We start from the raw sequence: 25,803 nt of genomic DNA on the forward strand, positions 1-25,803 counted from the left end.
AAATCTGAGTTGTTTATTAAGCTCTTGTATTAGTCCATTCTCACACTGCTATAAAGAACTACCTGAGACTGGATAATTTATAAAAATTAGACTTGGGAGGCCTCAGGATACTTACAATCATGGCAGAAGGTGAAAGGGAAACCAGGCACATCTTACATGGGAATAGGAGAGAGAGAGAGCAAAAAGGAAATGCTACTTTTAAACCATCAGATCTCATGACAACTCACTCACTATTAAGAGAATAACATGGGAGAAACTGCCCCCATGATCCAATCACCTCCCACCAGGTCTCACTCTCAACATGTGAGGATTACAAATCAAGATGAGATTTGGGTGGAAACATACAGCCAAATCATATAATTCTGCCCCTGGACCCTCCCAAATCTCATGTCCCTTTCACATTTCAAAACTCCTAGTGCCTTCCCAACAGTTCCCCAAAGTTTTAACTCATTTCATGATTAACTCAAAAGTCCAAATCCAAAGTCTCATCTGAGACAAGGCACGTCCCTTCCACCTATAAGCCTGTAAAATCAAAAACAAGTTAGTTACTTTGAAGGCAAAATAAGGGTACAAACGTTGGGTAAATGTTCTTGCTTCAAATGTAAGAAATTGGCCAAAACAAAAGGGCCATAGGCCCCATGCAAGTCTGAAACCCAACAGGGCATTCATTAAATCTTAAAGCTCCAAAAAAATTCTCTTTACTCTAAGTCTCACATCCAGTGGACACTAATGTGAGAGGTGGGCTCCCAATATCTTGGACAGCTCTGTCCCTGTGAGAAATAAGTCAAAGAAGATTATTTTTACTCTTCAGAGTACAACCTCCACAGTTCCTTTCATGGGCTGGCATTAGAGCCTGTGGCTTTTTTAGGCACACGGTGCTAGCTGTCAGTGAATCTACCATTCTGGGGTCTGAAGGATGGTGACCGTCTTCTCAGAGCTTCACTGGGCAGTGCCCCAGTGGGGGCTCCAACCCCACATTTCCCGTCTGCATTACCCTAGGAGAGGTTCTTTTCTCCATGAGGGCTCCATGCCTGCAGCGGGCTTCTGTCTGGACACCCAGGCATTTCATACATCCTCTGAAATCTAGGCAGACTCTCCGAAAAATCAACTTTTGTCTTCTGCACACCCACAGGGCTAACAGCACACGGAAGCCACCAAGGCTTGCACTCACTGAAGCAACAACCTGAGCTGTATCTTGGCCCCTTTTGGCCACAACTAGAGTTGGAGGAGTGGGATGCAGCGTGCCTTGTCCCAAGACTGCACAGAGCAACCAGAGCCTGGCCCATGAAACCATTTTTTTTCCTCCTAGACCTCCGGGCCTATGATGGGGGAAGCTTTCATGAAGATCTCTGGAAAGCTCAGAAGACATTTTCCTCATTGTCTTGGCTATTACCATTTTCTTCTTGTTATTTATGGAAATTTCTGCAGCCTTGATTTCCTCCCCAGAAAATGTTTATTCTTTTCTACCACGTGGTCAAGCTGCAAATTTTCCAAACCTTTATGCTCTAATTCCCTTTTAAGCGTAAGTTCCAATTTCAAACAATCTCTTTGTGAACACATGTGACTGTATGCTTTCAGAAAAAGCCAGGTCACATTCTGAAAGCTTTGCTGCTTTTAAATTTTTTATGTGAGGTATGCTAAATCATATCTCTTAAGTTCAAAGTTCCCCAGATCTCTAGGGAAGGGGAAAAATGCTGCCAGTCTCTTTGCTGAGGCATGGTAAGAGTCACCTGTACTCCAGTTCCCTACAAGTTCTTTATCTTCATCTGAGACCACCTCAGCCTGGACTTTATTGTCCATATCACTATCAGTATTTTGGTCAAAGCCATTCAAGTAGTCTCTAGGAAGTTCCAAACTTTCCTTCATCTTTCTGTCTTTTTCTGAGCCCTCCAAACTGTTCCAACCTGTGCTGGTTACCCAGTTCCAAAGTCACTTTCACATTCTCAGGTATTTTTATTGCAATGCCCTACTACCTCAGTACCAATTCCATGTATTAGTCCATTTTCAGACTGCTATGAGGAACTACCTGAGACTGGGTATTTTATAAAGAAAAGAGGTTTAATTAACTCACAGTTCCACATGACTGAGGAGGCCTCAGAAAACTTGCAATCATGGCAAAAGGTAAAGGGGAAGCAAGGCACATCTAATATGGCAGTAGGAGAGGGAGAGCAAAGAAGAGAGTGCCACTTTTAAACCATCAGATCTCATGAGAACTCACTCACTATCAGGAGAACATCATGGGGGAAAGTGCCTCCATGATCCAATCACCTCCCACCAGGTCCCTTTCTCAATACATGGGGATTATAATTTGAAATGAGATTTTGGTGGGGACACAGAGCCAAACTATATCACCTCCATAAATGGCTTGAATAATGATTACATTGGCAAATGTACATGTAAGAATATACAGGTAAGATTATATCTCTAATTATATTATTATTATTTTCTTTGACACAGCATCTTGCTCTTTTACCCAGGCTGGAGTGTGGTGTGGTGGCACAATCAAAGCTCCCTGCAGACTTGAACACTTGGGCTCAGGAGATCTTCCCCCCTTAAGCCTCCCAAGTAGCTAGGAATACAGGTGTGCCATCAAGTCTAGCTAATTTTTTAATTTTTATAGAGATGGGGTCTTGCCATGTTGCCCAGGCTGGTCTAGAACTCCTAGCCTCAAGCAATCCTCTTGCAACAACCACCCAAAGCACTAAGATTACAGGGATGAACCACCACAACTGGCTTCCATTTATACAATTTATGCCCAAATGTGAACTGCTGAGAGACTTAGCTAAACACGTAACTATCCATGATCAAGTAAGCCTTGTCATAATAGGAATAGAAAGAATAGGCTAAACCCAAGCCTTTTTAAAGAGACAAAATGACAACAATTCTTCCTTTCTACTCCATTTACATTTGTATGCCTCATATATGTTATTTCATATTGCTATATTTTCCTGTACCCTATTATTTTCTGGAAAAAATTTAAATCAAATTTTAAATTTAATAATCTTAATCACTGGTTTTGCTTTTTGTTTAGGTGATCAGATAATTTTAAGACAAAATTATAAGAATATATACATTATATTTGGAAAGTTATTGCTTTCATCACAAAATATTGAGCAAATTTCTTCATATTGGATCATGTTTTTCTCTTCATTTTAATATTTCAAGTAAAATGGTTCCTTCAAAAATAATAAAATTGACCCTAAATATATTGAAATTATTACAGATTTAACTATGACAGAATAATATAATCAAATGTCAAAATGGTAAGTAATACTAGTCACAGTGACATGTGAACATATAAATAGAATGTATTAATCTTTATTAAGATAACTTTAATGTATGAACCATCTTTTAGAAGAAATACAAACTTGCCTTTTAAAAATAGTCACTTTTGAGATTTTTAAAGCACATATCTCTTAAATTACATTGGATAAATTTGTTATACCAGTTTTTTAAAATTCAAATATGTATTAAATAGGCACAAAGAAGATTGAAATATTTGGAAATTATAAGCGGTAGAAAGTTGATAAAATCCATTGATATGGTTTGGCTATGTCCCAGCCAAATCTAAACTTGTTTGTGTCTCTCAGAATTCCCTAGTGTTGTTGGAGGGACACAGGGGGAGGTAATTGAATCATGGGACCCGTCTTTCCCACGCTATTCTCCTGAGAGTGAACAAGTCTCATGAGATTTGATGGGTTTATCAGGGGTTTCCACTTTTGCTTCTTCTTCATTTTATTCTCTTGCCACCACCATGAAAGAAGTGCCTTTTGCCTCCCACCATGATTCTGAGGCCTCCCCAGCCATGTGGAACTGTAAGTCCAATTAAACCTCCTTTTCTTCCCAGTCTTGGGTATGTCTTTATCAGCAGCGTGAAAATGGACTAATTTTACGTTGCTTGAAGTCAAAACTAAACTATGGAATCTGTTCTTCGTTACAGATGAGTACAAGCTCCTCCATCCTCATTACAAACTCCCTTGTATCAAACAATATGAGAAGAACGGCCCACCATCCTGTCCCCTTAGACAAATTAAAGTTATTTGGCTCTGCATCACTTTTGAAAGAAACCCCTGTAAAGAAATTATACCATAGAATTTCTGCCAAATTCATGAATCTTTTTTATTATCTTTGGCTTTTATATACTTTGATGATTTAAAAAGATTGAATCAACCACTAATTTAGGGAAAAGGTAAATATAATACAAAGACATTTCCCCTGGAAACATTTAAGTGTGAGTTGCCACCATAAAGACCCATTACCCAACTTTAGTTTGTATTTTCCACAAATAAAATTCCTATGCTGCATGACCACAATACAACCAGTAATATCAGAAAACCAACATTAAGGCCAGGCATAGTGGCTCATGCCTGTAATCCCAGCGTTTTGTGAGGCCAAGGCAGGTGGATCACCTAAGGTCCAGAGTTTGAGACCAGACTGGTTAACATGGTGACACTTCATCTCTACTAAAAATACAGAAATTACCCAGGTGTGATGGCTTACACATATAATCCCAGCTACTCAGAGGCAGGAGAATCATTTGAACCTGGAAGGCAGAGGTTGCAATGAGCCAAGATCGTACCAGCCTAGGCGACATTGCACTCCAGCCTGGGAGAGAGTGAGACTCTGTCTCCAAAAAAAAAAAAAAAAGAAGAAGAAAGAAAGAAAAAAGAAAACCAACATTAATACATTACTACCATCGACTCCCTAGACCCTATTTAAGTTTCACTGGCTATCTCAATAACGTCCTTCCTAGCAACAGGATTCACTTTACAGTGAAACATTCCATACAGTTGACATATCTGTTTATGCTCTTCCAGTACAGAACATTTTCTACCTTTTGTTTGGACATATGTGACCTTCACACTTTGATGATTATAAGTCTGTTACTTTATAGTATATCCCTCAATTTGTATTTGTCTGCTCCTTTCTCACGGTTAGACTCAAGGTGTGCACGTTTAGTGAAAATATCACAAAGAGATGCTGTGCTCTCTTTACAAGCTCTCAGGTGATGCATGTTTTTGATTTGTCCTGATGATATTCACACTGATCACTTGATTAAGGTAAAGCATGCTTGGCTCCTCTACTATAAAGAAAGAAACACTCTACAAATTTACCATTCTTAGGTATTTTAGGGGAGTTTATTTTGAAACTATGTTTCTAATTAAGCTTTCAATATATGCATTTACGTATTTATAACAATATGGGCTCATGTTTTTCTCTTTGATTCAATGAGTAGTAATCCATTTTGCCATTAATTATTTAAATTCTCAAACTGACAACAATTTAATCTTTCAGGATGACCTTATTATCCTTTCAACATTGTCTTAATTTTTAACAATATATATTCCAGGATCATCTTGTAATTTTTCTGCACCAGCTCCAGAATCAGGCCTCATTCTTTTCAATGGAGCATGTTATTGAGAACCAAGATCTGGGGGTTCAGTGTCCTCATTGCGATTAGGGTATCACTTGTACCAGTTGCTTGGCCTCTCCCTCTGTCTGTTTCTCTGTCTCTCTCTCTCCATATATGCATACATACATTTATATTGATTTTTTTTAGATTCCATGATTTCATTACTGATACATCCAGTTTAATCATCAGGCTTCATACTTGTTTATTTCCATTCCATATTTTTAATCCATTCTCTGGCTTTGAGAAATTTGGCACCTGGTTTTGTTTTAGTTTTTCAACTTGTTTTCTTATTTTATCAATTCTCTGTTTGACCAATGTCATATCTCTTCCACCTTCTTCCTGACACAGATTCCTCTTCACCATGCTTGTGCTCTGACATCCTGTGCCAAAACGGCATTTAAAATCCTTAATTACATGAGAAAGGAAGAGAAAAAAACAACAGATCAAAAAACAAACAAATGCTTAAAATCTTGCATCATTGTAACACTTCAAAATTTACTCCAGTATTTTTTCTCAAAAAAAGTTAATGTATATTATGTGACAAAGATAGAGCAAATGTTTTCTAAACTGATGATAGCTCTGAGAGCTTTACCCTAAGTCACATTTGTTTGTGTGAGAGATTTGAAGATCTATCATCTAGTTGTCAATCCCTAGCATATTATGACACTCAACTTGTCATCTCTTATTCTGTGTGATTCATTCATTCACTCATGCATTCAACAAATGTTCACTGAGCACGTATTTGAAACTGAAGATGCCAGGGTTGTACAGTTAGTCCTAATCCCTTCACTCTTGCACCTTATCTTAGAATGGTGAAAATAAAAATAGAGAGAAATAAACAAATGATAATATTGTGATGGGTTGTGCTATGCATTATGTGGGAAGCAATTTTCTGAGAAACAGAATACCTAGGGAGACCACATTTGGATTTAGTTGTACAAAGACAATTTCTTTAATACAGTGATACACAAAATTATAGTAAATTGGAAATATAGGTAGAAATAGAAGAGGCTTTATTTTGTCCACTATTGTGTATATGAAAAACCACTGAGGTATTTCAAATAGGAAAACAACATTATCAGATTTATATTTTATAAATAAAGATCTGTAGTTCTATGGGGTACACATTACAGGACATTTTAGCTTAGGCCAAGGGTCACCAGTGATGGTCTGTAGCTTAAATCTGACACACTGACTGTTTGTGTAAATAATATTATATTGGAATGTAGCCATCTCAGCCTGTTTTCTGCTGCTATAAAAGAACACTACAGACTAGGCAACTTATAAAGAACAGAAGTTTATTTGGCCAATGCTTTTGAGGGCTGGGAAGTCCAAGAGTTTCTTATCATTTGGTGTTGGCAATTGGAAAGGGTCATCCCATAGTGGAAGGGCAGAAAATGGATGGGTGAGAGAGAATGAGAGAGGGCAACAGTACGTGAGACAGAGAGGAAAAGACGATGGAACTCCCAAGATAACAGAGCCAGTTTTGAAAAAATGGCATTTGTTTATTTAGGAAGATGAGGTCCTTAGGAGCTAATAGCTTCCAATAAGCTCCATCTCTTAAAACTGCCACAATGGCAATGAAATTCCAAATTAAGAACATTTGGGGGGCACATTCAAACTAAAGAAGTAGCCATCCTCACTTTTGTATATATTGTATATGACTGCTTTTTTCACTCTAATGGCAGAATTAAATAGTTGCCACAAATACGCAGTGATCCATGAAGCCTAAATATATATTGTATGTATCTTTCTAGAAAATGTTTCTTGACTCTTGATTTAGGCAAAAAATAATAGTAACTGGTTACCAAGGTTTTGGTAATATATATGGCAACACTGGGACAGATTTGAGTTCTAAGTTGGTAAGGATGAAAATAGAAGATAATTCCTAGTTTTGCAGATTTACGTGTTGATAAATTGTGGTCTTTTTTACTGTGAAGGTGCCATGATTTTTATATTTCACATTTCAATTTTTCTTTTCCTTATACTTTCCATCTCTATTCTGAAATTTCTCATGTGTTTATGTGTGTTGCCTTCCTAGCAGCTTTAACATATTAATCCCAGTTGTTTTCCTTAGCCATTATCATGATTAATTTTTTCCCACTATTCAGAAGTTGAGCAGGTTTGGGATTTTGTCTTTGTCTTCCTTGCATCATTACCTTCAAATATCTTCAGTGTCACCATGTGCTTAATGTGGGCTGTGGTTTTCTAAAGGATTTTCTTGCACTATGCTTAGCTTTAGGTCTTCATCATGTGCTTGTACCTAGAGAGGACATCATTCTATCCTCTTTTTTCCCTCCCACAGCTATAGATTGCTATTGTTTGTTAATTGGTGCTGGCTAACCTGGTGGGGGTTGAAGAAGGTGAATTTTCTCTGGGGTCCAGTTTTAGTCTCAGTCTTAGGCAGATCCTGTGTTACTAAGTCTCAGATGTGGGGTTTCATCAGGGTTTCTGCCACTTTCATATCACTAAGAGCCTTCTGATTCTCTTGGCAGATATGTAATTTTTCCCTTTCCCAGGGGTAGAGGACTTTTTTCTTTTCCTTTTTCTCCAGCTATAGTAAATCTTCTCCTGTTCTCTCAGAATAACAAGATGGTTGCTCCTGTCCAAGCAGTTTAAAGCTTTTGCTCCTTGGAGGAAACATGATGTAAACAAGACTTTCTCCTTTCTGCGGTAGCAGCTGCTCCCCTTCTCCGGTACAGCTCTGTGGAACCAACTTTCTCCAGTCTCCCAACCTGCCCCCAACCTCATTCTTTCTCATGAGCCCCTAGTGGAGGTCATTGGAGCAGAGCCTGAGAGTAGACGTGAACCCTCCTATGTCTGTGGCAATGAGATATTGCATGCTCTCACACTAACCAGTATTGGTACGGCCTTACAGTTCAACCACTTATTTTAATCATTATTGTATAATCAAGGCCTCAAATGGTGGGCCTATTGAAAGCAGGAGGCATATAGTAACTATTTTTAGAACAGGAGGCATGTAGTAACTATTTTTTTAAATTAACCCATATTTTACTGATATTAATTCATTATATACTTATGTAATGTGTTTCAATAATTTTCCTATGAGAATTCTAGTTTTTATTATCGCCAAATATGGTGCATGTGATTTTGTGTGTGTGTTTATTCTGTGTTTACAGTTAAATTTATTTCTGCAGAATAATTTTCCAAAAATAATATTACTTGCTTGAGCATATAATAAGCACATTTAATTTTATTTAAAAATATCCTCCTGGATAATGTTTCTAAACACTATAGCATCTTACAGTTCCACCAGTAATGTATGAGGACTCCCATGTGCCCTGCTTTAACAGGCACTGGATATAATTACATTGCTTGATTTTCCAAACTATTCATTGATATTGTAATATTTTTGATAATCTTTTCCCTAATTATATAAAGACTTTGTATGTGTCAGTTAGATATTTGCATCATTTTCTGTGGAATTTGTGTTTTTAATTTTGACCCATTTTACATAGGATTATTTAATTTTTCTATCATCATTAAAGGCTATTTTAAAATATTGGTATCTAATATTCTCCATTAGATGCTGTCTATATCTACTTTTGACCTTTAGTCTTTGGGCAAAATCTTATATAATTATAAATCTAATACCAATGTATAATGGGAGATGATGAATATATAAGGAGACCTATTATTAGTCTTTTAAAAACATTAATTGGACTTAACATAGTTGTAATATAGCTGGAATATCCTTATTACACTCTTCTTTAAACTTTGGTATGTGTCCATATAGCACTTTTCATACCAAAGTTTCTACCTGTTTTCAGTGGCCTTTTCAGATAGAGATCAAAAGAAGACTATGCAATATAGATCCCTAACACAGAGAAAAGATCTGAAGCAGGAAATCAAAGAAGTTCCCCTGAGATTTCATTTTCTCATTTATTCTCACTGTGGGGAAGAATAAAAATGTTAAATTTCAAATTCTAAGAAAAAGATTAACCAAAAATTGCACCGTAATAAATTCAGTGCTCAGATTTTAATCTACCAACAAATTGATGATTTAGTATTTTCATAATTTTTCTATCACCTAGATTACAATGACATTATCTGCCTTTTTTCATATATATATATTACAAATATGTATGTGTGTGCTTGAGTTATTTGAAATACTGTACTGCAGATCAATATCTTATGCAAATTCTTTCATTTAATCCTGATAGTAATTTTGAGATGCGAATAATCTTTTTTCACATTTTACAACCCAGAAAAATACCACAAAAGGCTGTGTCACTTTCAAGATTACACAAAGACTGGAATAAGGGAGGTGAGACTAAAAGTCCATTCTTATATGTTTGAGGGAATTTCTCTTTCCAAACATAATTGATCATATTGAGATGGCCACTTCATGTATCAATCACAGAGATACTGTTGTTTTCTTTTAAGATATACTTGCATTTTACTTCCTGTCTACACTACTATACAGTTATTCTGATGCAAAGATGGTCATCTTCCTACCCTGCTACCGGGTAAATTCTTCTGTCTTGCTCCTTATTGTATTCCAATACCTGGCATAGAGCCTGGATTCAAATTGAGGAGTTCTGTAATAAATGTATTCGAACAAATGCTATTAATGAACGTTGAATGGTACTAGCATGAATAAAAATAACAAAAGCCTTCTCTTTAGTGGCTAGAAATTGTTCCAACATTTTTAAAATAAAATTTATTACATATATACTTAATTGTGTTTTTAAAATACTACAAAAATAAAGTTACCTACGATTTTATCTTAATTTTGTTAGTGGATTAAATACCAGGACACCTATGAGAAAATCAACATATGTTATCATTGCAGAATATCTCATATATTGTTTATTTAAAGTATACATAAAATTTGTGTGCCTTCAAGCCTATAGTGAATTAAATAAATAAATATTATATATAATGTACAGCTTATGTAAAATAAATTAAAAACATTAAAATTTTAAATGCATGTGACTAATTCGTTATCTGTATCAGTATAACCCATTCACTAGTATAAATTATCCAGCTTGTTAAACATTTTATTTAACTAAATTTTAGTTCACTTACTCTTCCTTTTAATGGAAAAATAAAAAATTTCAATTTTTACATTAAATAATCCAAGTATATTATAAAATATGAACTCAATTATTAAAAATAATTTGATGGTTTCTATAAGTTTTGTACATGTATTGTATAAGATTTATGTCTATATGTATAAATATACTCTAATTAAATCATTAGAGTATGTTAATAAATCAAGTTGTGACACACATTTTTTTCTATTTACCCATTATGAGATTACTATGTAATATTTGGATTCAGTAAAATCATAAGTGACAATCTATTCTGCACTTATTCTAAATCTGCTAAGATTTATTAAAAACATTTGTTCTAGTTATTTAGAAGTAAAAACATTTTTGTTTATTTTTCTTGAGTAAATATAGTTTCTTAAAACTAAAATAACTGCCTAAAAATGCTTGATTTTAGGACATACAAATTTTTTTTTAATAATATGTCTTTTCTCTGGGAACTTGAAGGCCATGTTTGTAAATAAAAAAGAAATAATCAACATATCTTGACTTAAATTATGATTGATAAATCTTAAAGGAAAGATAAATCCAAAAATTATGATGAAATAAATAATGAAGAATATTTAAAAACTACAAAGATGTATTGAAAATTATAAAAAATTTAAAAGTAGACATGGATTATGTTGAACTGGGTATATATGTTTGTAGACAGATAAGGTTATAGTTTTGGAGAAGGTAGAAATATATATTCATCTGGAGGAGAAGTATATTTTATTAAAAAACACAACACTGTTTTGATATGTATGGTACGAGGGCAAAACTAGGTTGTACATTATACACTTTTTAAAAAGACCATATTAACTAATAAATAGAAAATAGACACTATCTTAAATTGCATTCATTAGCCTTTTTAAAGTATCATGAATGGGGACAGATATGCTCACAAGAAAATCTCTTAAAAGAGGTGAGTACATTCTCTAATCAGTCCTTTGCTCCTAATTATAACATAAGGGAGGATGTCCATTTCAGTTAAATAACAGAAGCATCATTAAGGGAATAAGTGGAATGTTCATAAACCAGGTCATTATTATTGTTTAATATTCATTATTTATTTAGGTAATTATGGGTCATCTAGGGCTAACTTATTATCTTCCTTTTACAGGTGTGTCTCTATACTCTATATTAGGAAAATAATAAGAAAATTTAGAGCTTTAAAAAGTTCTCTAGATGGCTACATTCAGAACCTTCAAAAACTGCACTAAAATTTTATTTTTTCATTCTAAAAATTATTCTATCACTGACTCTACAAATATCTATTCAAATTCCTCTTAATATATATGCTGTAATCCAGCCACTAGCACAGTTTTGAAGAAACATGATGTCCTGTTCTTAACTAGATTGGGTGCTGATGTCAGAGTAGAAAATATACAATTTAAATACACATTAATTCCATAATTTCACATAGTGATAAAAATAGAAAAAATAAAACTAGACAATTGTTTCTGGGAGCCAGAGGTCAAATCTGTTTGGGTGGGTAGAATTGGACTCAGACAAAGTAAATGAAAAGGACAAGGCCCTAAGCCAGAAATAAATTTAGAGTAACAATCAGAATTTTAGCATGGATTAAACATAATGAGGAAAGGATGGCTGGCTATTGACATAAACAGAAGTAGGAAATATACCCTATCTTCTTGAGAGTGGTAATCTAAAATATTTAAGGGCTGGAAGAACAAATATGCTTCTGTGGGTTGTCATGAAGTATCACTATAACTTAAAGCATATTTTCCTCTGATATGGCTTGAATGTATCCCCACCCAAATCTCATTTTGAATTGCCACGTGTTGTGGAAGGAACCTGGTGGGAGGCAATTGAAATGTAGGAGCAAGTTTTTCTCGTGCTGTTCCAGTGATAATGATTAAGTCTCACAAGATCTCATGGTTTTAAAAATAGGAGTTTTCCTGCACAAGTTCTCTCTCTCTTTGCCTGTCTCCACCCATGTAAGACATGATTTTCTTGTCCTTGCCTTCCCCAATGATTGTGAGGCTTCCACAGACATGTGGAACTGTAAGTCCATTAAACCTCTTTTTCTTCCCAGTCTCAGGTATGTTTTATCAGCAGTAGGAAAACAGGCTAATACAGTAAATTGCTACCAGTAGAGTGGGGTGTTGTTGAGAAGATACCCAAAAATATGGAAGTGGCTTTGGAACTGGGTAACAGGTGGAGGTTGGAACAGTTTGGAGGGCTCAGAAGAAGACAGGAAAATGTGAGAAAGTTTGGAACTTCCTAGAGACTTGTTGAATGGCTTTGCCCCAAATGCTGATAATAATATGGACAACAAAATCCAGGCTGAGGTGGTCTCAGATGGAGATGAGGAACTTGTTGGGATTTGGAGCAAAAGTGACTCTTGTTATGTTGTAGCAAAGAGACTGGTGGCATTTGGGTCTGCCCTAGAGATCTGTGGAACTTTGAACTTGAGAGAGATGATTTAGGGTATCTCACAGAAGAAACTTCCAAGCAACAAAGCATTAAAGAGGTGATTTGGTTGCTGTTAAAGGCTTTCAGTTTTATTAGAGAATCAGAGCATAAAAGTGTGAACAATTTGTAGCCTGACAATGCAATAGAAGAGAAAATTCCATTTTCTGAGGAGAAATTCAAGCCAGCCACAGAAATTTGCATAAGTAACGAGGAGCTGAATGTTAATCCCCAAGACAATGGAGAAAATGTCTCCAAGGTCTGTCAGAGGTCTTCATGGGAGATGCTCCCATCACAGGCCTGGAGGCCTAGGGGGAATAAATGGATTTGTGGGCTGGGTCCAGGGTCCCCATGCTATGTGCACCTTAGGGATTTTGTGCCCTGCATTACAACCATTCCAGCCATGACTAAAAGGGGCCAAGTTACAGCTTGGGCCATGGATTCAAATGGTGCATGCCCCAAGCCTTGGCAGCTTTCACAAGGTGTTCAGCCTGCAGGTGCACAGAAGTCAAGAACTGAGGTTTGGGAACCTCTGCCTAGATTTCAGAGGATGTTTGGAAATGACTGGATGTCCAGGCAGAAGTTTTCTGCAGGGGCAGGGCCCTCATGGAGAACCTCTGCTAGGTCAGGGAGGAAGGGAAATGAGGGGTCAGAGCCCCCACACAGAGTCCCTACTGGGGCACTACCTAGTGGAGCTGTGAGAAGAGGGACCCCATCCTCCAGACCCCAGAATTGTAGATCCACTGACAGCTTGCACTGTGCACATGGAAAAGCTGCACACACTCAATACCACTGCATGAAAGCAGCCAGGAGGGAAGCTATACCCTGCAAAGCCAAACAGGCAGAGCTTCCCAAGGCTGTAGGAGCCCAACTTTTGTATCAGTATGACCTGGATGTGAGATATGGAATTAAAGGAGATCATTTTGCAACTTTAAGATTTGACAGCCCAGCTGGATTTCGGACTTGCATGGGGACTACAGTCCCTTTGTTTTGGCCAATTTCTCCCACTTGGAATGGCTGTATTTACCCAACCTCTGCACCCTCATTATGTCTAGGAAGTAACTAACTTGCCTTTGATTTCACAGGCTTATAGGTTGAAGGTCCTTGCCTTGTCTCAGATGAGACTTTGGACTATGGACTTTTGAGTTAATGCTGAAATGAGTTAAGACTTTGGGAGACTGTTGGGAAGGCATGATTGATTTTGAAATGTGAAGACATGAGATTTAGGAGGGGCCAGGAGTGGAATTATATGGTTTGGCTGTGTCCCCACCCAAATCTCAACTTGAATTGCCATGTGTTATGGGAGGAACCCAGTGGGAGGTAATTGAAACATAGCAGCAAGTCTTTCCTCTGCTGTTCTCATGATAGTGAATAAGTCTCACAAGGTCTGATGGTTTTAAAAATGGGATTTCCCCTGCACAAGCTCTCTTTTCTCTTGTCTGCTGCCATGTGAGATGTGCCTTTCACCTTCTGCCACGATTGTGAGGCCTTCTCAGCCACGTGGAACTGTGAGTCCATTAAATTTCTTTCTTTTGTAAATTGTCCAGTCTTGGGTATATCTTTATCAGCAGCATGAAAACAAGTTAATACAGCCTCTAACCACGAAAACCACAGCAGCTCCTAACCAGATTGTGCTAGCAACTTATTCCAAGTGAGTGTTTATATTTCATACTATAATGAGAAATTCTGATTTTATAATTTTAATGAAAACATAGAAACAGAGCATATGTTTCACAAATTACATAGTTATACCCTGTAATTTTGACACTTTGTAATATTTAATAGAGATACCACATGCTTTACTCCTTTGAAAATTTGTGTGTGGTTGAGAAAGTCACACAAACCTTGCCTGTCTAAGTCTACACTGGGTAATTATGGATTGTTTGGGGGCCTGTATTCTAAGGAATGGAAAGAAATGAACTGAAGGCTAGAATGGCTCTTCCAGAGTTTCTTTTAAGAAACATAAAGCCGCTAGTGATTCTACATTCTTAGGTAAGCCAATAGATATTTTCTTAAGACAGAGTCTTGCTGTATCACTCAGGCTGTAGTGCAGTGGCGCAATTTTAGCTCACTGCAGCCTCTGCCTCCTGGGTTCAAGCGATTCTTGTGCCTCAGCCTCCCAAGTAGCTGGGATTACAGGTGTGCACCACCACTCCTGGCTAATTTTTTGTATATTTAGTAGAGAAGTGGTTTCTCCATGTTGGCCAGGCTGACCTTGAACTCTTGTTGTCAAGCAATCCACACTGTTTTTCCTTTCAAAGTGCTGGGATTACAGGCATGAGCCACCAATGGATAGTATTTTAGCTGATTACCTCTTGAGGTATCCCTGATGAGTTACAAAATTGTCATAAGCTTTGGGTCTGGGCGTGGTGGCTCATGCCTGTAATCTCAGCACTTTGGGAGGCCAAGGCAAGTGGATCACTTGAGAGCAGGAGTTTGAGACTAGCCTGGCCAACATAGTGAAGTTTGGTTTCTACTAAAAATACAGAAATTAGCCAGGTGCGGTGTTCAGCGCCTGTAATCCCAGCTACTCGAGCGGTTGAGGCAGGAGAATCGCTTGATCCCTAGAGGCGGAGGTTGCGGTGAGCCAAGACTGCACCATTGCACTCCAGCCTGGGCAAAAAGCAAAACTCTGTCTCAAAAAAGAAAAATGTCGTAAGTTTCATAAGTTACTGAAAATTGGGTAACAACACCATCATACATGCTAAGATTTTCTATAACAATGTAGAATTTAAATATGGTAATTCTCAGAGTGTAACATTGAGCTAGTAAGGTAAGCTGGAGAAATGTTGATGGTCACACTACCTTCTTATTCAGGATCCTTTCAGCTGCCAGTTTTGCCAGTTGCATATTGCTTCAGTCAGAATAAATTCTGGGATTTTCTGTAGTGCCTCTTTGTGCCATAGAGTCTGGAAAGGAAAGAAAAACATTTCCAATATTTTCTCAAAGCTAAGATCCTCAGAGTAGACACACAAGATATAAATGCAAAATCGAGCAATGTGAGATAACATTCATCTGGGAAGAGGCCATCTCTTTTCAAGTAGAGCAGTAGTAACATATGTTTTTTTCTGGGGATGCCACAGTGGAGTTTCTAGTACACAGTCTCCATCACCATGGAGGTTGCAAGTTGGGCAATGATATAGTAAAGTCACTCTTCCTGATGGGGAGACTCAAAGTTTTTTGCTTCTCTATTCCATAAATTCTAAACTTAATAATCTGTAATATATTTCTGTGTGATTAAGCTAGCTAGAGTTTGCAATACAATAAACAAATCTGCAATGGAATAAAACAGTTTCTGACAAATCAGATTATATGGCTTAAGCAAATAGATTTATTGAGAAATGAAAATATAAAAACAAGTTAGTTATCTTCAAAAATGCCTGGACCCAAAGGTTCAAACAGTGTTTGATTTTCCTCCTCTACTTCCATGTAGTATTCACTCTTAGGCACTATCTATGTGGTGTCACAACTCAAATCTATGCATCTTACAATCACAATAAAAAATACTTTTACTCAAATTTAATTAAATTTCATGCAACTCATTCTCACTGGATTAAGTGTAGACCCAGACCCATCCCCAAACCAAGTACCATGGCTAGGTTGTAAAATAAACAGACCAGTGCAAGGCCATGAGCCTGCCTCTGTAGCAAGGATGAGCAGGACTTCAGTCCCATTTGGACTACATATACGAGCATGAAGAGGGATGATTTTCAAAAGAAACTAACTATTACCAAAACAGGAAAATGGATGCAGGGCAAGAAAATACAAGCACACAAAACCCTCTCCCAACAACCTCCCTCACTGTCTTTCTCACATACATACATATTACATTAAGAATCTTGGCCGGGTGCGGTGGTTCACGCCTGTAATCCCAGCACTTTGGGAGGCTGAGGTGGGTGGATCACCTGAGGTCAGGAGCTCGAGACCAGCTTGACCAACAAGATGATACCCTGTCTCTACTAAAAATACAAAAATTAGCTGGGCATAGTGGTGGGTGCCTGTAATCCCAGTTACGCGGGGGGCTGAGACAGGAGAATTGCTTGAACCTGGGAGGTGGAGGTTGCAGTGAGCTGAGATCGCTACACTGCCCTCCAGACTGGGTGACAAAGCGAGACTCTGTCTCAAGAACAAAACAAAACAAAACAAAACAAAAAAACAAAAAAACCTTAATTTCAGAAAAAAGGAAATTCAAACATTGTTGATAAAATCTATATATTTTGATATATAATGTCAGTTATTGTAAAACTTAAATGTCAGTTATTGTAAAACTTAAAACACAAATGGGTTTCATTTGTTTTTGTTTTTTAAAGAGGAGTGTTACTTAAGCTGCAATTCTAAAAAAGTCTTCATATCTAGAAATGCTCTCTATGACTCGATGATTTTAATTGTGATTTATGAAATAAAATATTTCTAGGCTTAAATCCTAAATCAGACACTTATTAATGTATGACTTTTAATAATATAATCTACATAAGCTATGGTTTATTTAGCTTCAAAATATCAGTAATAGCACTGTTAACTGAGCTAGTGTAAGGAATAAGGTAAATTTCTTGGGAAAATTTAATTGCCTAATATATAGTGTCTTTGGTCGTGATGACTACATATGATTGGGGGAGGGAAATAAATGTATTAATTGTGTAAGTGAAAGGTGAAATCCCATAAAATTAGAATTTCACAAAGTTCAGTGTCATAAAATGTTGTGTTCTATTGTTTTATATGATGTGCCTCATATATTTCTTGAAATTTAAATAATTATTTATTAATTGGAGCTATATGACATTGATTTATATATCAAAATTTGCAATATCATGTAGTTGAATCTCAGGAAGTACAGATAATAGGTATTAAACATATCGGATTTCTTCCTCAGCCTTTCTGTGGCCACAAAAGCATTTGTACAAATTGAATAAAATGAATGAATGTTAATGTGTCAGTTAGTGTAAGTAAGGCATGAGGAGCTTAAAATACATTATACCATGTCTATTCCACTAATACTATTTTGTAGTGAAGTTAAAGCTAAATTAACCATGTGTGACAAATTTGATGGCCTAAAAGAAGTGACTAAAATCATACAAGAGAAATGAATACAGTTGCTATCGTCTCGGTAAATTTGTGGACACAGTTCTGTTCAGATTATATATGAACTGCATGAATATAAATTCGTCATTATCATCTTCTGGAAATATATTCTACTTTGGTAATGGATATGATAGTGATAAGTATGAATTTAAATTAAACAAAATAAAAAATTTTTTCAAATACTGGGCAAAATACGAAAAAATGTTTTATGACAAAATACAAAAAAGGCCTTATAGAAAAAAAGTCAATACATATATGCCTATAAAAAAGTTTCATCAAAAATTTATATAGTGAAATTAGATACCAACACAAATCTGAAAATAATTAAATCACAAGTAGAATATAGGCATCCTTTCATATACACAAGATAGGTTACAGAAAGGATGAAAGTCATCCTTTCATATACACAGCATTGGTTACTGATTTGGATTGATAATCCAAATCCATGGAAACTCAAGTTCCTGATATAAAATGGCACAGCATTTGCATATAGCCATTGCTCATCCTCCGGTATACTTCAAATCATCTCCAGATTATTTATAATACATAATTCAATGTAAATGCTATATAAATAGTTACACTGTATTTTTAAGTATTATTATTTTTGTATTATTGTGTCATTATTTGTATTGTGTTTTAAAAAAACTACTTCCAATCCATAGTTGGTTGAATCTGTGGATGGGGGGACCCATAGACTCCCAGGGAAAACTGTACTTGAATATAGAACAGTAATCAGAGGCCCCCAACGTGTCTTTCCTTCCCACTGTATTTATCCTTTACCTGCTCTGAGCACTTTGTCTTATCACGCTTTTCTCTCAGTTCCCACTCTATTGAAACACAATAAACGAACAAAAAATGGAGGGCAAAGGGGAATCAAGAACAGAAGCAAGTCAGGGACTTGAGTGAAAAGAAGAAACATATTTCAAAGCAATGTGGTTTTTGATAAAATTATTTGGATACAAGGCAAAATAATGATAATGAAGAAGTTAGCCCTAGTATAAAATAAGGAAGCCAGGAATAAGCTCTAGAATCTAAAATTCTCTAGGAAATAATAATATGTCTCTTAGTCACAGTTCCAGGCACTCAATATCTTTCAGGAATATTCCCAGGATTACTCAGCTTTTTATTTACAATGTGTGTTTAATTATTAAGTGTGATCTTACATTATATAAGACATCACGTACTAAGAACAAAGGCTAAAATGATAAATAAAATTGGCTGATTCTTACTAAATTGGCTTATAGTGAGTGGGAGGTGATTCTGATACCCGAGATGTAAGCAGTCATGAAGGTGCAGTGTTGTTAGCAGCCTGTGGTGGACAAAGTATCCATGTTCTCATTCCTCAAAGTGAGGAATATGTTATCCTATATGACAATAGGAAAATAAGTTTGCAGATGAAAATAATTTTGCTAACAAGCTGATTTATAAACAGAAAAATTATCCTTCATTATTCTGGTGGGTCCAATGTAATCAAACTGGTTCTCATAAATGAAAGAGAGAGACAGGAGAGTCAGTCTGGAATCATCCACTGTGAGAAGAAAATGCCATCCTCCATTGCTGGTTTTGAAGATGAAATGGGGCCACCAGCCAAGGAATGAGGGAAGCACCTAGAAGCTGAAAAAGCCAAGGAAATGAATTCTATCCTACAGCCTTGAGAACGGAACACATCTCTATTGACACCCTGATTTTAGCCAAATTAGAAATGAGTCATACTTCTGATCTACAGAACTGTAAGATCATACATTTGCATTGTTTTAAGCCACCAAATACATGGTAATTTGTTAAATGAGCAATAGAACACACAGCCCATGGATTTCACTGAGGAGTCACGAAGCTATCTGAGAAATAAATGCAATTTTAGCAGAAAACTGAATGCTCCAAATATTCTGGGCAGGACGCAGTAAGCACGTTGTACAAAGAGAATAGGAATAATTGTGCAGACAATGGAATAGGAGAGAGAGCAATACACATTTTGAAAAACTAAAAAGTTCAGTGTAACTGTATCTGTTGTACTCTGTGTGGTGTCTGTGGGTAACTGAACAGTAGTAGGAAGCATCCAGAAATGAAAAATTAGAAATCTGAGATTAATGTATGAAAAGATAATGAGGCTTTGAAAGCCATGATAGCAAATTTAAAATTATTTCTAACAGCACAGGAATGTCATGGCACATTTTTAAAGGGGATTGTGTGTAGGTGTTGGGGGCAGGGTGATCGAATTTTCATTCTAGACATATTGCTGAAGCTGCTCCTGAAAGAGACAGGAGAGGGCCGCTAAAGTTAGGAGGCCTTGCATTAACCCAGGACAAAGTCACAATCGAAGTCTTGGCTAGGACTGTGACAAGTGGGATCCAGACATGGGACTTGAAATCCTAGGGAGTTGCCTTGTTTTTTTCTTTTCTTTTCGAGAAGGAGTCTCGCTCTGTCACCCAGTCTGGAGTGCAGTGGTACAATCTCAGCTCATTGCAACCTCTGCCTCCTGGATTCAGCCATTCTCCCACCTCAGCCTCCCGAGTAGCTGGAGCTGCAGGAGCCCACCACCATGCCTGGTTAATTTTTGAATTTTTAGTAGAGACAGGGTTTTGCCATGTTGGCTAGGCTGGTCTTGAACTCCTGACCTCAGGTGATCTACCCGCCTCAGCCTCCCAAAGTGCTTGTATTACAGGAGTGAGCCACCATGCCCAGTCCTGTAGTTGCCTTTTCTTTAAACATATTGATTAGAAGGAGGCATCTGTGGCCAGGCGGGGTGGCTCACACCTGTAATCCCAGCGCTTTGGGAGGCCGAGGTGGGTGGATCACGAGGTCAAGAGATAGAGACCATCCCGGCCAACATGGTGAATCCCCGTCTCTACTAAAAGTACAAAAAATTAGCCGGGCGTGGTGGCAGGCGCCTGTAATCCTAGCTACTCAGGAGGCTGAGGCAGGAGAATCACTTGAACCCGGGAGGTGGAGGTTGCCGTGAGCCGAGATTGTGCCACCGCACTCTAGTCTGGCAACAGAGCAAGACTCTGGAAAAAAAAAAAAAAAAAAAAAAAGAAGGAGGCATGTGGCCCCACCTGAATTTATATCCTTAGGCTTAAGAAAAATTTATCCTGACGTAGAAATAGATTAGCTGTCTAAAAATTCCCAGCATATTTTTTATGCACACAAACTCATAGGTATTCACTCCAGCATATGATTTATAAACAAGTTTTTACTTGATATTTTGTGGAATAAGCCAGAGTATTTTAATAGACGTCAAAATGTCCTGCTTCTATTTCCACCCTGTTATTGAATTACTGTCAACCTCAGAAAAAATTCGAATCTTTTCTGGGCCCCTGTTGTCGTTTGGGGGAGATTAGACAAATTGAATTCGATAGTATAGGTTAAATAAAATAAAATTGGTACTATTTGATCAATTTCAATTTATAAAACTAGCAAATTTATATGGCTCTGCTTACTATTTTTTTCACTTAAAAAACTCACATGTAATTTTTCAACATGGTAGAGAACCAAAAATCAGGACCCTTGCTTTTCCTCTTTTTTTTTTTTTTTTTGAGACGGAGTTTTGCTCTGTCGCCCAGGCTGGAGTGCAGTGGCTGGATCTCTGCTCACTGCAAGCTCTGCCTCCCAGGTTCACGCCATTCTCCCGCCTCAGCCTCCCGAGTAGCTGGGACTACAGGCACCTGCCACCACGCCCAGCTAATTTTTAGTGGAGACGGGGTTTCACTGTGTTAACCAGGATGGTGTCGATCTCCTGACCTGGTGATCCGCCCGCCTCGGCCTCCCAAAGTGCTGGGATTACAGGCGTGAGCCACCGCGCCCGGCCTTGTTTTTACTCTTAAGGTCAGTGGAAAACAAAGCAAACATGCTTCTATATTTACTTAAAAATGATTGATGTAGACATATCTGAATATCTATAAATTAAAATTATGTTTTTCAATTACAAATACCTCATATCACCAGCTCTTTAATTCTGCCACAATTGCAGATGCCTTAGGCACATCTCCATGGGTAGATTATTGTTTAATAAATATGTACTATATTCATAATTATAGGAACCAAAAGTTAAAATTAATTTCTTGGCCATTTTTTTTTCCTTTTTGTAATCTTAACAATGCGGACCCCTATGTTCATTATTTCTTACAATAAAAGTACTCAAGAATGCCTTAGGTAATTGACCTATAATGATGATAATTTTCTCTTTGCCTGAGAAAATTACTTTTAATTTTAAATTTCTTCTTAATCTTATGGGAATGATTCAACTTGTCAATTCACTTGTTTTTGATTTCCCATTTTAATTAGTCTCAATTTAATTACAATTGATTGAGTTGAAATATCAAACATAAACTTCCTGCATGAATAGAAAAATCTCATTTTCTCAGTAGGCATCAACTTACATGTTAGAGAAAAATATACAAGTAACTCCTTTGCATGTGGTTGTGTACGTGAACTCCCAAGTTTATTTTCCAGAGATTTTAATAAATTGATTTTTTATAAGAAAAATAACATCATCCATGGGGTCTAAGTTACTCTTCTTCACTCTTCTTTTGCAGACAGAGAGCAAGAGCAAGAGAGAAAGAAAACCTACAGGTGATTCTTATACATGATCAAAGTTAAGAACTAGAAATTTTATACATTTATTCTCTGTCATTAATTCCCTCCTCCATTTCTTAGTCTAATTACAACATATTGATATAGTTAAGCACCTTTTTAAAAATATAATTGCAATTAGACAGTGTTAGAAAATTAGGTTTAATTTGTTTTTCTTTTCCCAGTTGATTATCGCAATAGCTGCCATTTATTCTTATGCTATGCTCATCCATTTTTCCCTGTTGTATAAATGATATTTAAGGGATTAGTATCAAAATAGTATTTTTAAGAGAAAGTCTTATTAAACATTGCCACATGGGAGACGTAAATCCAGGGCAATTCTACCAGGACAGCAACCTCTCTTTATTCCCCATCCTGCCTCGATACCAATTTACCCACTTAGTGTTCATTCCCAATTGTGAAAGAATATTTTAAGTTTTATTATAATACTTTTTATAAGATTCCCAAATTATGAGTATAAAAATTTTTAGTAGAATACAATATATGTGAAGATTAGCATTCAATATCCAGTTAAAACAAAAGTATAACCATGAAATTTTAATTGCAATTGCAGGTGACTTTCACACTATTGGGCAGTGAACATTCTTAATATTCTGTATATTTTTTTAATTTTTATAAAGTATGATCAACTTTCAATGGAACACTTTTTTAAAATTTCAAAACTGTTAAACAATCTGCTAAAATGAAAGGCATTATGAATCAGGAAATGTAATTAAACAGAATTTGAGGTGAATGTGTGTGTTTTCTGTAAGTGATGTATTTTGCATTACATAAACATAAAATAAGGTGCTTATTATAAATCAACTCTTCCATTGTCATGTGTCTAAACAAATGTTATCCATTTTATAACGTTTCCTTTGGAAGTATATGTAGTTAAAAAAAAAAAAGTATGGCCAACTAGCTTTTGACAACTCTTTGACTGAATGGTTCTTAAAGATTTTACTTGTTTTCAACAACAGGCAAGAAGAAGAAGAAGGAGGAGGAGGAGGAAGAGGGGAGGAGGAGGAGGAGGAGGAACCAGTGGTATACCTAATGTAAATGATGAGTTAATGGGTGCAGCACACCAACATGGCACATATATATATATATGTAACAAACCTGCACGTTGTGCACATGTACCCTAGAACTTAAAGTATATAAAAAAAATTATCAGCAAGTCAAATAAATTCAAAAACTAAATTTAAAAAATAAATTATAGACTGGACAAATGACTTTTTTTTTTCAATAGAGATGGGGTCTCTGCATATTGCCCAGGCTGTCCTCTAACTCCTGAGCTCAACCAATCTGCCCACCTTGGCCTCCCAAAGGGCTGGGATTACAGATGTGAACCACTGTGCCCAGCCAAAATCACTTCTTATTTTTTTAAATTTTATTTTAAGTTCAGGGATATAAGTGCAGATTTCTTACATAGGTACATTTATGACATGGGGGTTTGTTGCACAGATTATTTAATCACCCAGGTATTAAGCCTAACTCCCATAGTTATTTTTCCTGATCCTCTCCCTCCTTCTAGTCTCAACCTTCTAGAAGGCCCCAGTGTAGGCTGTTCCCCTCTATGTGTCCATATATTCTCATCAGACAAATGACTCCTTCACTACAATTAAGATGTGTATTGAAGAGAAAAAGGTGATTAGACAACTTTCCTGTCTTAGTCCGTTCAGGCATCAATTACAAAATACCATAGACTGGGTGGCTTAAACAACAAACACTTATTTGTTATAATTTTGGAAGCTGAGAAGATTAAGATCAAGATGCCAGCAGATTCAGAGTCTGTTGAGGGCCCTCTTCCTGTTTATAGGTAGCTGTCTTTTTGCTCTTTATAGGTGGCTGTCTTTTTCCCTCATATGAGAGAAGGGATGAGGAAGTTCTCTAGGACCTCCTTTATAAAGGTACTTATCTCCTTAATGAGTGTTCATCTCATCATGACCTAGTCAATATCCAAGAGCTCCACCTAATACAATCCCTCTGAGTGTTAAAATTTAAACATATGAATTGGAGGTAAAATAAGTAGCCCGTAGCACTCCACATCACTAAAGAAACAAGGTAAAAAAAAAAAAACACCAATAAACAACAAATACACAAAAACCTCTCAGTCTGATATCTCCTACAGAAGAATCATAATAATGTACTTTTGATTTTGCCACATGATTGATAACTTATAATCCCCCAGATGCTGAATAAAATGCTAAATTATTATAATAAAATATATTTTTTCTCTCCTGGAAAAATTAGAATAATGCCAGAGGAGTAATTTTCTATAATATATTTTCAATAATTTTCTACATTTTATTATCTCCATTACCATTATCGTTTCAAGAGGAAAAAGAAAAAACAAGAACAGCAACACATTGCTGTGGTTTGAATGTTTGTCTCCTCTCAAATTCATGTTGAAGTTTAGTTTCCATTGTAAGAGTATTAAGAGGTAGAACCTTTCAGAAGTCTGTGAAGATTCTACCTTCATAAATGGATTGATGCTGTTAATTAAAGAGTGCGTTCCTTATAGATGAATATTTCAGTTCTGTCTTTTCTCTCTCTCCCCCACCCCATCCTTGCCCTTCTGCCATGGCATGACACAGTAAGAAGTCCCTTGACAGCTGCTGGTAGCTTAATCTTAGATGCCCCATCCCCCAGAGCCATAAAGCAATAAATTTGTGTTCATTATGAATTTACCAGTCTGTGGTATTCTGTTATAGCAGCACAAAATAGACTAAGACACAGGTACACATAATATACATAAACATAGTACCAAAATGTCAAAGATTTGGGGATTAGAGCTTATATTAATACGTTAAATAAAACAAAGAATAATAACACTTAGAGGCTAACACTGTACTAATACTAAAATTTATCTAATCCAGATATGAATAGAAGGAATTTTTAAAAATATCTTGAAACAAATGAAAATGGATATACAACATAAGAAAATCTATGCGATATGGCAAAAGCAGAACTGACAGGGAAGTTTATAGCAATAAATGCCTATATCAAAAAGTAAAAATAAACAAGCTAACAATAACACCTCAAGGAACTAGAAAAGCAAAAACAAACCAAATCCAAAATTAGTAGAAGGAAAGATATAATAAAGATCAGAGTAGAAATAAATGAAATTAAGTCTAGAAACATAATACAGAAGATTCTTGAAATGGAAAGTTGGTCCTTTGAAGAGATAGAATTGACAAATTGTTAGTTGGACTAAGAAAAAAAGAGAGAAGACCTAAGTAAATAAAGTGAAAA

The 25,803-nt window shown here is 36.4% G+C and overlaps 1 long non-coding RNA gene across 1 annotated transcript in view; it reads right to left on the minus strand.

Moving 5' to 3' along the window:
* Positions 1-5,668: 5,668 nt before the first annotated feature.
* Positions 5,669-25,803, minus strand: part of LINC02228 (long intergenic non-protein coding RNA 2228) — a 64,352-nt gene continuing 44,217 nt past the window's right edge. Inside the window, exons 4-5 of the long non-coding RNA NR_147006.1 lie at positions 15,706-15,809; positions 5,669-5,818 (exon numbers count right to left, since the gene is read on the minus strand). This is a non-coding gene — a long non-coding RNA (long intergenic non-protein coding RNA 2228). The remainder of the gene's footprint in view (positions 5,819-15,705; positions 15,810-25,803) is intronic.

The sequence above is a fragment of the Homo sapiens genome, chromosome 5 (genome assembly GCF_000001405.40).
Source record: "Homo sapiens chromosome 5, GRCh38.p14 Primary Assembly".
Taxonomy (NCBI): Eukaryota; Metazoa; Chordata; class Mammalia; order Primates; family Hominidae; genus Homo; species Homo sapiens.